This window comes from Homo sapiens, chromosome 6, assembly GCF_000001405.40.
Source record: "Homo sapiens chromosome 6, GRCh38.p14 Primary Assembly".
Classification (NCBI taxonomy): Eukaryota; Metazoa; Chordata; class Mammalia; order Primates; family Hominidae; genus Homo; species Homo sapiens.
In genome coordinates, this window is record NC_000006.12 from 150,977,510 (window position 1) to 150,991,552 (window position 14,043).

At 41.1% G+C, this 14,043-nt stretch overlaps 1 protein-coding gene across 29 annotated transcripts in view; it reads left to right on the plus strand.

Annotated features, from left to right (window-relative positions):
* Positions 1–14,043, plus strand: part of MTHFD1L (methylenetetrahydrofolate dehydrogenase (NADP+ dependent) 1 like) — a 236,186-nt gene that overhangs the window by 111,808 nt on the left and 110,335 nt on the right. For 3 of the 29 annotated variants that reach the window (NR_146720.2, XM_047418616.1, XM_047418615.1), the window contains exon 21: positions 7,541–7,699. The exons of 23 other annotated variants lie outside the window; for them this stretch is intronic. Coding sequence is in view for 5 of the 6 variants with exons in the window: in XM_047418616.1 (XP_047274572.1) it covers positions 7,541–7,650 (110 nt within the window). In the remaining variant the exon portion in view is untranslated. Of the gene's footprint in view, positions 1–6,324; positions 6,653–7,529; positions 7,700–14,043 lie in introns of those variants that run through there. 3 more of the 29 variants (XM_011535738.4, XM_047418617.1, XM_011535737.4) reach the window with 2 other exon arrangements.

The following is a 14,043-nucleotide window of genomic DNA, read 5'->3' on the forward strand; positions in this document are numbered from 1 at the left end:
GCAAACAGATATTTGGCATCGAATTCTAATCATGTATTACATTTAAAAAATAAAGCAAAAGGAAAGAAAGAAAGGAAAAAGCAGTATTGAGTTCCTGGATTTTAAAAACATTATTATCTCATCTTTAAACTATTTGTAGGAATTTCAAACTTACCCATTAACTTAGGATTTTTTAATTTGTTTTCTGCTCTCTCAGTTGGTTTTGATTCCAGTTTTCAGATAAAGATCTTGTCTTTGCAGAGGAGTGCAGAATGCAATTGTGTATCCTTATAGGCAGGTGTCATTAACTGAGGGTCACCAGCCACTGGTGGACTCCTGGATAGACTTCGATCTACAACTCTGTCCCATAATTAAATATAGGTTCGTGCATATGGAGACATATATATATACACCTTTTTTTTTTTTTTTTGAGATGGAGTCCCACTCTGTCTTCCAGGCTGGAGTGCAGTGGCGTGACCTCAGCTCACGGTGACCTCCACCTCCCAGGTTCAAGCGATTCTCCTACCTCAGCCTCTTGAGTAGCTTGGATTACAGGCGCATGCCACCACACTCGGCTAATTTTTGTATTTTCAGTAGAGACCTGGTTTCACCATGTTAGCCAGGCTGGTCTCGAACTGACCTCAGGTGTTCCACCCGCCTCGGCCTCCCAAAGTGCTAGGATTACAGGTGTGAGCTGCCGCACCTGGCCACCTTTTTTTTTTAACCTGGAGAAAATTACACAATTCTTGGATTCTCACAGGGGACCATGACATAAGAGAGAGAAAGAACTGTTGGTGCATATCTCAAAGCCTAGCTCTACTTTTGACGGTAGCTTTCGATGTCCCATACACATTTGGCATTTATTATCCTTATCCAGAGGTGCTTGTCAAGAAGCTACCTAATTGATTGCAACTCTGCTGCTTGCTCTCTGTAGAGAATCACACAGACCTGGCTGTGTTCCCCAGGTGCTTCCTGGGTACATGAGCATAAACACTCATGCAGCAGAGGAGAAATATGAGACAAGTGCCCAATTAAAACACAGGGTGATCTTTGCCTCAGACATTTCAGGATTAGGATTTAGAAATCAGAATGAATCGACTTAGCAGTTCCAAGACAAATTGAATGGGATTGGGAAACAAAGCCTTGTTAATATTTTCATTAAAAACGCCCCCGTTTCTGAGCCATTCCTGAGCATTAGACCGGTGCTGAGACTATCATATACCTTCTCACTCAATCCTTAAAACCGTCTGTGGGATCAGTGTTACTATCCTCATCTTACAGATGATGTAACAGAAGCTTAGCAAGATGATGATACATGTCCACGATCAATCAGAGAGTAAGTGACAGAGGACGTGACCTGAGGGCTCCTCCTCGCCAAAGCTTGTGGGTGATCAGGCGGCTATTGTGCTCAGTGTTTTTCTCAATGCTCTTTACCTGGTTGCCACCCTCTCCCATTAAAAAATAATTTTAGCTGGGCGCAGTGGCTCACTCCTGTAATCCTAGCACTTTGGGAGGCCGAGGTGGGTGGATCACTTGAGGTCAGGAGTTCGAGACTAGCCTGACCAACATGGTGAAACCCTGTCTCTGCTGAAAATACAAAATTAGCCGAGCGTGGTTGTGGGCCCTGTAATCCCAGCTACTTGGGAGGGTGAGGCAGGAGAATCGCTTGAACCTGGGAGGCAGAGGCTGCAGTGAGCTGAGATTGTGCCATCGCACTCCAGCCTGGGCAACAAGAGCAAAACTCTGTCTCAAAAAAATAAGAAGAATTTTGGGTGAGCTGTCTACAGCAGATGGTCACAGTTACAGGAAGTACCAATATAACTATATTGTACCAATATATCGTAATGTGCGCCAACAGTGGTGGTCCTTTTTGGTCCTTTTTTTCTTTTCTGTGTTCTACTTTAACATTTCTTCCTCCCAAGTAGGTTACTGATTGAAGATGACCTTATCGAGTCCCACTGTTTCCTTGCTCTACCTCTCAACCTGTATTTTTGGGGGACAGTTTTTTAATTTTTTTATTTTCCTTTTTTGAGACGGAGTCTCACTCTGTCTCCTAGGCTTGAGTTCAGTGGCACGATCTTGGCTCACTGCAACCTCCGCCTCCCGGGTTCAAGCGATTCTACTGCCTTAGCCTCCCAAGTAGCTGGGATTACAGGCACGCACCACCATGCCCGGCTAGTTTTGTATTTTTAGTAGAGATGGAGTTTCTCCATGTTAGCCAGGCTAGTCTCAAATTCCTGACCTCAGGCGATCCACTCACCCCTGCCTCCCAAAGTGTAGAGATTATAGCTGTGCACCACTGCACCCAGCCTAGGGGACAGTTTTATAATCAGTCTTCTTGGCCTTCAGAGGACTCTGCTGGTGGCTATACCCAGCTAGTGGCTTGTTCTCTCTTTCCACTTTTATTGCCCTGAAATTCTAAATATTCCATCATTTTGGTAGAAGAAAACCAGACCAAACTAAACATTCTCATGATTTCATCCACCTTTAAAAAAAAAAAAAAATCTGACGTCAAGTGATCCTGCAGCTCTAAGCTGTAATTCTCCCAGACCTTGCCCTGTTTACATTATTTAAAAACACTGATCTCAGCCTGGGCTCCACTTTTGTTATTATGATGCTTCCAGGTTTTTTGTCTTTAGTAAATTTATTCATAATTAAATCAAGGTTGAGAAGTGCTGGCTTATTAGAGACTCTGGCTGAAGGTCATGTGCGAACTCAGGAAACTGCTAATCACAGGTCGTGTTTTTCAGCCCCTGTCTTCAGGAAGGCTTAACTCTAAGGGAGGGTTGTTTTGTGTCATCTCCAGAGCTCTCATTTCTCCTGTGTGGCTTGGTGCCGAAGCTCATTCGTCCCCTCGCTGTCTGTTCGGCCCTTGTCCTACCTCCCCTTTCTCTTTCCACGCTTTTGTGTAAAGTAGCCCTCTTTCAAGCTGCTCCTCTGTCCTTTGAAAACAAATGAAAAAGCAAAATGTTCTTCATATACACTAAACAGGAAAGTATGCAAAGTAATGTTACAAACACCCATGTTCCCACCACTCTGTTTCATCAAAATCTTAACATGTCGCTGTGTGTCCTTTAGTTTTTTTGTTTTTTTAAAGAGATACGTTTAGCTGGGCATGGTGGCGCATGCCTATAGTCCTAGCTACTTGGGAGTCTGAGGCAGGAGGATCAATTATGCCCAGCAGTTTAATTCTCCTGGGCAACAGAGTGAGACCCTGTCTCTAAAAAAAAAAAAAAAAGAAAGAAAGAAAAGAAAAGAGAGAAGAGAAGAAATCAGATATTAGAGACACAGTTGAAGTTCCCGTGGACCCTCCTGATCCCGTTCTTTTTTCTGCTTCTCTCCTGATTTGAGTGATTATCGTTTCCGGGTGTGTGTTTCTACTTTGACCACACACATATATGTACACTAGAGATCTGTAGCGGAGGTTCTCAGACTTTCTCTGCTCGTGACCATTAATGGCCCAGCAATTTTTTTCATGGTACCGCCCGGGCAAGAGAAATACCTAACATGTCCATTTATTAAATAGGTCCAAACAACTTAATGAGTATTTATGTCCTTACAACTAAGTGGCCACCTGAAAAAAAAATACATATGAATTCGAAGGAAAAAATAACATCATTTCATTTTTAAATTACCACCATATGTTATGAATGAGATGTGTGTCCTTGTCAGGCACCAGACAACTTCTGACCCTTTGTAACCAGTTGACACCCGCACCTCATTTCCTGTTCCACGTTGATTTTCACACGATTTTTGCATTTTGCTGCGGTACCTGCCAAAAACTTTGCTTTGCAAATATATGATGTCATGGAAAGGGATGTAGAGCACTATTGTTGAAGCAGTGAAAAACCTCACATGAGTAGTATTTGCAGTGTCCAACGGATGTCCTGTATTACCGCGTTTCCGTCAAAAATTTAAAATACCCCACGGTGCCTCTGAGTTTGCTGCAATGCCTCACGGCACCTCATTGCACATTAGAATCACAGATGTGCGGCTTTTCTTGGTATTTTTTATGTGTTTTCAAATTTTATATATTAATAGATATTAACTGACTGCATTGTTCTCTAATGAGGTCACTGCACTTTTTCTGTAAATGGCAAGATCATAAATAGTTTGGGTCACAGAGTCTCTGTCCCAAGTACTCAATTTAGAAAGCAGCCATAGGTAAAGCATGAATTCATAAACTAGTCCATGTTTAGGAATGAGTCTGGCTGTGTTCCAACAGATGTTATTATTGGTTCCTAACATTTGAATTTCATATAATTTTCACGTGTAATAATACTCTTCTGATATTGTTGGCAACATTTTAAAAGGTGGCCAGGCACAGTGGCTCATGCCTGTAATTCCACTGCTTTTGGAGGCCAAGGTGGGAGGATTGCTTGAGCCCAGGGGTTCAAGACCAGACTGGGCAACATAGCAAGATCCCATCTCTATAAAAAAAATTTTTAATTAGCCAGGTTTGGTGGCACATGCCTGTAGTTCCAGCTACTCGGGAGGCTGAGGTGGGAAGATCACTTGAGTCCAAAAGTTTAAGGCTGCAGCAAGCTATGATCACACCTAGCTACTTGGTAAGCTACTATGGACAACATGGTGAAACCCTGTCTTGAAAGAAAGAGAGAGAGAGAGGGAGAGGGGGAGAGAGAGAGATAATACTTTTTAAAAGAGAAAGAAAGAAAAGAAAGAAAGAGAACACTTTTTAAAAGGATAAATAATTTTTAAAAACTTAATAATTTAACATGTAAAAAAAAAAAGATGTAGACCATATACAAAACCCAGAGGCACCTGGATTTGTCCTGCTAGCCATACTGGCCAACCCCTGCTCTATAACTTGATATTTTTGTGCAACATAACAGTTTTGCATTTCTCTATGTCACTGTGATCCAAAAAGCCTCATTTTGCCTGCAGTTTAGCCTTCTGTGCGTGCATGTAGCACGTGCATTTGTGCATTATTTGTCAAGGGGCTTTCAGATTGCTTCCAGTGTTCTGCTGTTACAAATAATGCTACGGGGGACATTCTTGTCCATGTCTCTGAGATTTAGTCTAAAAGGTCTTCTAGGGACTATATACAGGAGTGAGATTTGGGGGGTTAAAAGTACGCTTAGCAACAACTTAATAGATAAAGCCAAATTGTTCTGCAACGTAATACCAATTTATATCACTACCAATTGTGTGTGTGAGATTTCTGACCTCTCCACGTTTGTCCTGACACTTCTTTTTTTTTTTTTTCTTGAGACAGAGTCTCTCTCTGTTGCCCAGGCTGGCGTGCAGTGGCATGATCTCAGCTCATTGCAACCTCCACCTCCCAGGTTCAAGCAATTCTCCTGCCTCAGCCTCCCAAGTAGCTGGGCTTACAGGTGCACACCATCACACGTGGCTAAGTTTTGTATTTTTAGTAGAGATGGGGTTTCGCCAAGTTGACCAGGTTGGTTTCAAACTCCTGACCTCAGGTGATCCACCCACCTTGGCCTCCCAAAGTACTGGGATTACAGGCATGAGCCACTATGACCGGCTGAACGCTTCTATTGTTAGATTTTTTTAGCTCTTGCTAATCTGATGGTAGTTCATTATAGTTGTGAGATTTAGCATCTTTATGGCTGTTTCTGGGCATTTGTGAATTGTCTATTTTGTATTGTGCTATTTACCTTTTTCTTACTAATTAATGGAAATCCTTTATAGATTCCGAATACGAATACTTTGCCATTATGAGTTACAAATATCTTCTCCCCTGTATGGCTTATCTTTTAAATATGCTTGTTGTACCTTTTCTTGTCCACCCTTTTCTTTATGATTTCTGCTTTTGGAGGTTATAAAGATAATCATTTGTATTGCCTTATAACTGTTGTCTCTTGCATTGAGGCCTTTAATCATCTTAGAATTTGTTTGTGTAATGGTGTCTTTTTTCCTTAACTCTTACAGTTTGTGAGACTTTTCTGCCCTGGTGATATGTGCATCAGTGGTTGTTAGCCCAGCCCTATGAAAAGGGCCAGCTGGCCTCCATAGATCTAAGGCAGCCGAGAGTGCTGTCCCCTTTGTCCCAGGCTCTGCAGCATCCAAGGCGAGTGCAGATGGGGCCAGCTGTTCTTCCAAAACCATCATCTCTTCTTTACCTGCTCCTTCTGAGCTTCACCTGACATGGCTGTGCAGTCCCCAGGAAAAAGAAAGTCTCTCTTGTCTTCCTACTTCCTAAGTCAATCCTAGGAACTGTTACGTTCAATTCCAAGCAGTTGTCATAAAAGAAGTTTCCTTGGAACTTTGAAAACAAAAGAAAGGGTTTAATTTTCTTCTTTTCGTTTTGTTTTGTTTTGTTTTTAATTTTTTGAGACAGAGTCTCGTTCTATCCCCCAGGCTAACAGCTCACTGCAACCTCTACCTCCTGGGCTCGAGCGATCCTCCCACCTCTGCCTCCTGAGTAGCTGAGACTGCAGGCACAATCCACTACACCCAGCCAATTGTTCAATTTTTTTCTGGAGATGAGGTCTCACTACGTTGCCCAGGCTGGTCTTAAACTCCTGAGCTCAAGTGATCGCCTGCCTCAGCCTCCCAAAATGCTGGGATTACAGGCATGAACCACTGCGCCCATCCAAAAGGATTTAATTTTATGGTCAAATTCTACATTGTCTATTGACTTTAATATTTTTATAAAATTCTTTAAATAAAATGTCTTTACCTGGAATACCTTCAATGTACTTACTGGATTAGAGGCAGGTAGGTCCTGTTTGTATGGCTAGTATGTTCATTAAATATGAAAGTAATGGAAAGATGTTTATGACATAAGGAGAGAGGAACCTTCGCCTGTCAGGATAATAGAAATTGAAAGATTTTTATGACCTGGCTCAGCAGAAAAAGGAGTATATGATGTTAGCAATTTTTTAGAATTGATTTTTCAGAAGAAACATGCAAAACAAATGAGAATTAAGTAGCTAGAAAGCCTTTTTCCCCCCTTTATTCAGATAAAGTAACTGAAGACTTTTAATGAGAAGCCTGGTTTCTGTCTTTCTACACGGTGCACTGGGAATAGTAAGCTGTTAGAAGTCAGTGCTTAGAAGTACCTACCATCCTAAACACAGGAACCAAAAACAAGGGAAAAAAAAAAAAAAAGGAAGATAAATAAAGTAAAAGTAAAAAAGTACCTACCGTCCCAAATTTTGTATATGATGATGTTCACGTTTTTGAACTTACACATATTCTTCTGTATAAGTAAAATATTTCATAAAATTAAAAATGTTTTATAAAATTAGGAACAGAATTTCTTAAAGATCAACATGGTACTAATACATCTTACAATCTGTCTTTCAAAGTTTCAATAGACTTAACTTAGAGTCATTTTTTAAATTGCATTTTGATGCCAATATAATTCATGTGTCATTTTCCGCTATAATACAATGAAAATCCAGATAATGGAGATGGATTTTCTTCTGAGTAGCCACGCATATTAGGTTTCAGGCTCCAATTGCCTGGTTTTGAATTGCTCTTTGCCATGTGCTGTCTGTGACCTTGGGTGGGTCACTTCACCTCCCCCAAATCTAGGTTTCTCCAATACCTACCTCCAGGCTTGTTCTAGGCATGAAGTGCAGTGATGATGGAGAAGGCATGGACTGTGGCACAAATAGAAGAGTCAGGGGTTGGCAGCTCCTATTCCCACTGTACGATGCCAAGGATCTTTACCTATAGGATAAGCCTTCAGAAACATAATTTGGTCTTTCAAGTGCTGAATACCTCTGTGAGTATACTTTTTTCCATCTTTTTTCTTTTGGTAAATGAAACTCACTGAGAAATTTGACTTCTGATAATGGGAAACAGTGCTGCTTATGTGTTCTCCTTGTACAAAGGTGTCTGGGACCATTATACTTAGAGGTGATCTGAGAAATCGGAGGGGCTCTGATTGTTTTGAAAACTCTCCTTTGAGGTCGGGCACAGTGGCTCATGCCTGTAATCCCAGCACTTTGGGAGGCCGAGGCGGGTGGATCACTTGAGACCAGCTTGGCCAACATGATGAAACCTGTCTCTACTAAAAATACAAAAATTAGCCGGGCTTGGTAGCATGCATTTGTAATCCCAGCTACTTGGGGGGCTGAGGAAAGAGAATTGCTTGAACCTGGAAGGTGGAGGTTGCGGTGAGCCAAGATCACACCATTGCACTCCAGCCTGGGTGACAGAGTGAGACTCTGTCTCAAAAAAAAAAAAAAAAAAAAAGAAAGAAAGAAAAAGAAAACTCTCCTTTGAATTAAGGTAATCCTTCTTGAAAGGCTTGTTTAAAATGTTTCCTTGTTACCTGGGAGAGAGCAGGAAGCACTGGGAAATAGCACGTCACTGGTGCCTCGTGCCATTTCCGTGCCTTTCCCTGTCTTGCCTCAGCCTTGCACTGTGGAATGCAAAAGAGTAGAAGAAACTCCAACGTGAAAATTGTCGACAAACAATGCAGAGAATCTTCGGTGGCATTAAACATTAAAATTAAAGACACATGGTCTTAAATTCAGCTGATATACTTGACACCTCAGATATACTCTTGGTGCCAAAAGGGATGTTAAGCAAAATTTGAGGGATTTGACTCCTTATTTGGGAAAGACCATGACTACCAAGGGGAGAGAAACCAGAGGCAAACCTTATTGAAAAATGGAGTAGCTAAGTCATTTTGTATATGTTACTTTTACCCAGCCAAGTACAGTCTGTAGTTTTACACAGTGAATTTGATCTTTACTCTAAATTCTTTTCCTTTAATGAAAGTGCTAGTCAGTAATGCAGAACTTGGGCAAGTTTTATAAATATGTTTGCTTTACAACCAGTCTTATTAAGTCAGGGTATCATCTAAGGGCCCAATCAAGGACTTTTCATTTAAAAAAGAAAAACTCTAAATTGCATTGTGATATAACCCTTAAATTCCAACTGTCATGGGGAATCCCAAGACCTACATCTGTATGTATGTGCTGTGTTCTAAACACTGCTCCCCAACCTTTTTGGCACCAGGGACCGGTGTCTTGGAAGACAACATTTCCGTGGTTTTGGGATTAAACGGTTCCACCTCAGATCATAAGGCGTGGGTCCTAGATCCCTTACATGCGCAGTTCACAGTAGCATTCACACTCCTATGAGAATCTAATGCCACTGCTGATCTGACAGGAGGTGGAGCTCAGGCAGTAATGCTCACTTGCCCGCTGCTCACCTCCTGCTGTGCGACCCAGTTCCTTACAGGGGCTGCAGACCAGGGGGTTAGGGGTCTCTGTTTTTGTTTTTTTGGAGATCAAGTCTCACTCTGTCGCCCAGGCTGAAGTGCAGTGGCACAATATCGGCTCACCACACTCTTCACCTCCCAGGTTCAAGTGATTCTCCTGTTTCAGCCTCCCAAGTAGCTGGGACTACAGGCATCTACCATGCCCAGTTAATTTTTGTCATTTTAGTAGAGACTGAGTTTCACCATGTTGGCCAGGCTGGTCTCGAACTCCTGACCTCAAGTGATCTGCCCCCCTCAGCCTCTCAAAGTGCTGGGATTACAGACGTGAGCCACCGCGCCTGGCTGGGGACCTCTGTTCTAATATGCTTACCATGCCAAATGCATTATGAAGAAAAACAGAAACAAGGCTTTTAATGTTAAAGTCTTATTTTCTCGCTACTGAAATAGGCAAAATGTTTCAATTTTGCAAAAATAATATAGTATTGTGTATAGGATCTTCCCTAACCTGCTTTTTACATTTAATTAGGCTTCTACGAGTCATTCGGGTAGTTGCATCTAGCAGGCTATTTATCCATTCTTTATAGACCCTTTAGAGGTTTGAGACCCCTTTATAGAGGTTTGAGAGCCCTTTCTTGCCCCAGTTCTCTTGTCTGTAAAGCTGTAGGAAATAATATGACCTAACATACAAGGCAGTGTGAGGACAGCAGAAGTGACTTCTGTAATGCATATGGTGCTGTTCCAGGCATGGATAAATCTTTGCTAACAGTCGTAAGAGTTTACCTCCTGTGAGGACCTGGCTACGTGCTGAGCACCCTGCTTGGTGCTTTGTACATTGTGACTCATTCAGTTGCTCAAACAACACCATGAGTAGTTTACCAGAATTACCCCCATCTTGCAGGTGAGAAAACTGAGCATCCGAGTGAGTTAGTAGTTTGCTCAAAGGCAGGCAGCTAGCGCAAGGGGGAGCAGGAATTTGAACCTGAGTGTCGGCCCCACAGCCTTTGCTTTTACCACCGTGCTTTGCCACCTCTGAATGTTCACTTTCATTCCATAGCAGCATCATACAGCCCTGTGCATAACAGGAAGTGCACGTTTGTTAAATGAGAAACTAGTAACACTTCTGGTAGCTGAATGACTTAACTACTGGTAAACCTGTCTGCATGGCCACTAGGCTTTTTATGGTGAACACAGGCATATTTTCCATGTGCTGTGTTGAAGCAGCAATTAAATAAATCAGGTAAAAGAGTAATTAAATTTAAAAGGTAAAACGTTTTGGAAGGAGTTTTGAGGTTTAGGGCTGTCTAACCTGACCTTGACTGTTTCTCTATGTGCTGTAAGATGCAGATTGATTTTCAATGAGATATTCAGCCCATCCCTGCTTATGATTTATATATATTCTAAGTAATATGCTTAGAATGTAGTTCTGCTTACCATCATAAAATGTGGAGTTAAAATAAGATCCTTGTCAAAACATTGTCATGCAGAGATTAGTGCTATGAAAGTTAACATTAAATGATTTTAAAATGTGATCCAGAGGTTAAACTGAAGTTTTGAAATTCATAAAATGCATAAGCTTTTTGAGAATTTTTAAAAATATCCGTTACATAATAACTTTAAAATTACGTTATATGATTGCTATCTTACCCCATCTTAGCCAAGAGCATTCAGCCTGAGGATACTCAAAAAGAGTCAAATTACCCCTTCCTTGTATAAGCTATAGTTTAGGATATTGCAATTATATGAGGTCGTTTTAAAGTTTTTAGCAACGTTTGGTATAATTACAATATTGTGCTGTTCTTACACAAAGAAAACATAACAGAATTTTGAGCTAGGAATATTGGGAAACCAGCCATTGCTAAAGGAAGATGCATTTAGTGTATCTTTCTATGTACCTCTTAACATCTTTTGTGGGGTGTAGAAAAACAGATTATTAGGGCTTTCTTTTTTTGTGGGGGGGGCGGGAGCGGGGATGGAGTTTCACTCTTGTTGCCCAGGCTGGAGTGCAATGATGTAATCTCGGCTCACCACAACCTCCTCCTCCCAGGTTTAAGTGATTCTTCTGCCTCAGCCTCCCAAGTAGCTGGGATTACAGGCATGTGCCACCACACCCGGCTAATTTTGTATTTTTAGTAGAGGTGGGGTTTCTCCATGTTGGTCAGGCTGGTCTCGAACTCCTGACCTCAGGTGATCTGCCCACCTTGGCCTCCCAAAGCGCTGGGATTACAGGCATGTGCCACCATACCCAGCTAATTTTGTATTTTTAGTAGAGATGGGGTTTCTCCATGTTGGTCAGGCTGGTGTCGAACTCCTGACCTCAGGTGATCTGCCCACCTCAGCTTCCCAAAGTGCTGGGATTACAGGCGTGAGCCACCACGCCTGGCCTATTAGGGATCTCTAAAAGCCGCAAGCCTCTTGCTAGCCATAGCTGTGAATGTTGTCTTAACCATTAATGCTTCAGTATAAATAATATCAATTTAAAAGCTGCCTAAGATTTAAAAGTACTATGCAAATTACAAACTGCTTGGGTATCTAGATCAAAATAAAGCAGAGCAAAGAAGTAACTTTAGGAATGAAAGGGTATCTAAGTGGAATGATAAAGGAAGACTTCATGCAACAGAAGAATTTAAGTAAAACTGAAAAACTGAAACTAATGTGATCATGGCATTAAATAGTGTAACCCTGAAGACGCATCCAGTATATAAGGAACACCACAGCAGTGCCTATACTCACCGTTATTATTCATCATTATTCTGAAGCATGAATAAGAACAATTTCAAAAATTATAAATATTGGAAAGGAAGAGACACATTTTATTATTTATGTACAGAATAATTATATAACTAGAAAATTCAAGAGAGGCAACTGACAACTTATTTTAAGTAATAAAAGTTTTAGTTTGCTAGTGGATGCAATGTAAATATGTAAATGTCAATAGTTTTCTTTTTTTGTTAGCCATAAATACATACTGTAATAGAGAAAATGTCCTACTTATACATGTCCCCCAAAGGATAGAATACTTAGGAAATAAGTTTAGCAAGAAATGAGCACATAGAATAAAACTATAAAACTTTATTGAAAGACAAACAACAAGACCTGAATAAATGGTAAGACACATGACATACTCTTAGATGGGAATAACTGGTATTAATCATCCTTCCTCTGTCAAACTAACACCTAAATTACTATAAAATTACTATACTATATCATGCCACACTATACTATACTGTATTTACTGTAAAAACTGCAGAGGAAAATGAACTTCGTGGTTAAATTAATCACAGCATTTGTCTAGATTCTGCAAGAATGAATTCATGAGGATGGATTTAAAAGCTTTTTCAAGGCCGGGCGCAGTGGCTCACGCCTGTAATCTCAGCACTTTGGGAGGCCAAGGTGGGCAGATCACTTGAGGTCAGGAGTTCGAGACCAGCTTGGCCAACATGGTGAAACCCTGTCTCTACTAAAAATACAAAAATTAGCCAGGTGAGGTGGTGCGTGCCTGTAGTCCCAGCTACTTGGGAGGCTGAGGCAGGAGAATCGCTTGAACCAGGGAGGCAGAGGTTGCAGTGAGCCTAGATTGTACCACTGCACTCCAGCCCGGCGACGGAGTGAGATTCTGTCTCAAAAAAAAAAAAGGCTTTTTCAAGAACCATGATGGATGATTAAACTAATTGTAAGTATCAGAACAAGATAACCCTATAGCAAAACAGTTAATAGCAGAGGAATACCCTGGAGTGTCCTGAGATAGATTTCTTCCAGTAGTAATTTGATAAGATGACATTTTATTTTTATTTTTATTTTTTTCTTTTCTTTTATTTTTTTGAGACAGAGTTTCACTCTTCTTGCCCAGGCTGGAGTGCAATGGCGTGATCTTAGCTCACTGCAACCTCCACCTCCCAGGTTCAAGTGATTCTCCTGCCTCAGCCTCCCGAGTAGCCGGGATTACAGGCATGCGCCACCATGCCCAGCTATTTTTTTGTATTTTTTAGTAGAGACAGGGCTTCACCAGGTTGGCCAGCCTGGTCTTGAACTCCCAACCTCAGGTGATCCATCTGCCTTGGCCTTCCAACGTGCTGGGATTACAGGCATGAGCCACTGCACCTGGCCAGATGACATTTTAAATTAGTGGTGAATGGATGGGATACTGATTAAATGATGTTGGAACATTTGACTAATAATTTTAAAACATAAACCATAGAGTTTGTTGTTGTTGTTGTTTGAAATGTAGTCTCGCTCTGTCACCCAGGCTGGAGCGCAGTGGTGCGATCTCAGCTCACTGCAACCTCCGCCTCCTGCGTTCAAGTGATTTTCCTGCCTCAGCCTCCCTGAGTAGCTGGGATTACAGGCACATGCCACCATGCCTGGCTAATTTTTGTATTTTTAGTAGAGACGGAGTTTCGCCATGTTGTCCAGGCTGCTCTTGAACTCGTGACCTCAGGTGATCCATCTGCCTCTGCTTCCCAAAGTGCTGGGATTACAGGCATGAGCTGCCATGCCCTGCCAAAATATAAACCATAGAGCTTTGTATCACAATATATTCAAAATAAAGATAGAGTGACTTTTTACTTTTTAGTGTGCAAATTAAACATAAAGCTTCCAGGAAAAAGCAAAAAAAAAAAATTATTGTTGGTATCCTATCAAGGCTAGTAAAAAGAATAGATAAATGTATACATGGAACATGGGAAAACATTCACAAAATATAAAGTTAAAAAAATCAGGTTGTAAAATAATATATCTCCAATTTGTATGAGATTTATATCTATATATGGAATGAAGAGATATAGAAGTATATCAAATGATTATTTTTGTTTGCCTGGAGGTAATGGAATCATGGTGATTTTCACTTCACACTTTGTGATTTGGCATTCTCAAATTTTTACAATTACTGTGTATTACTT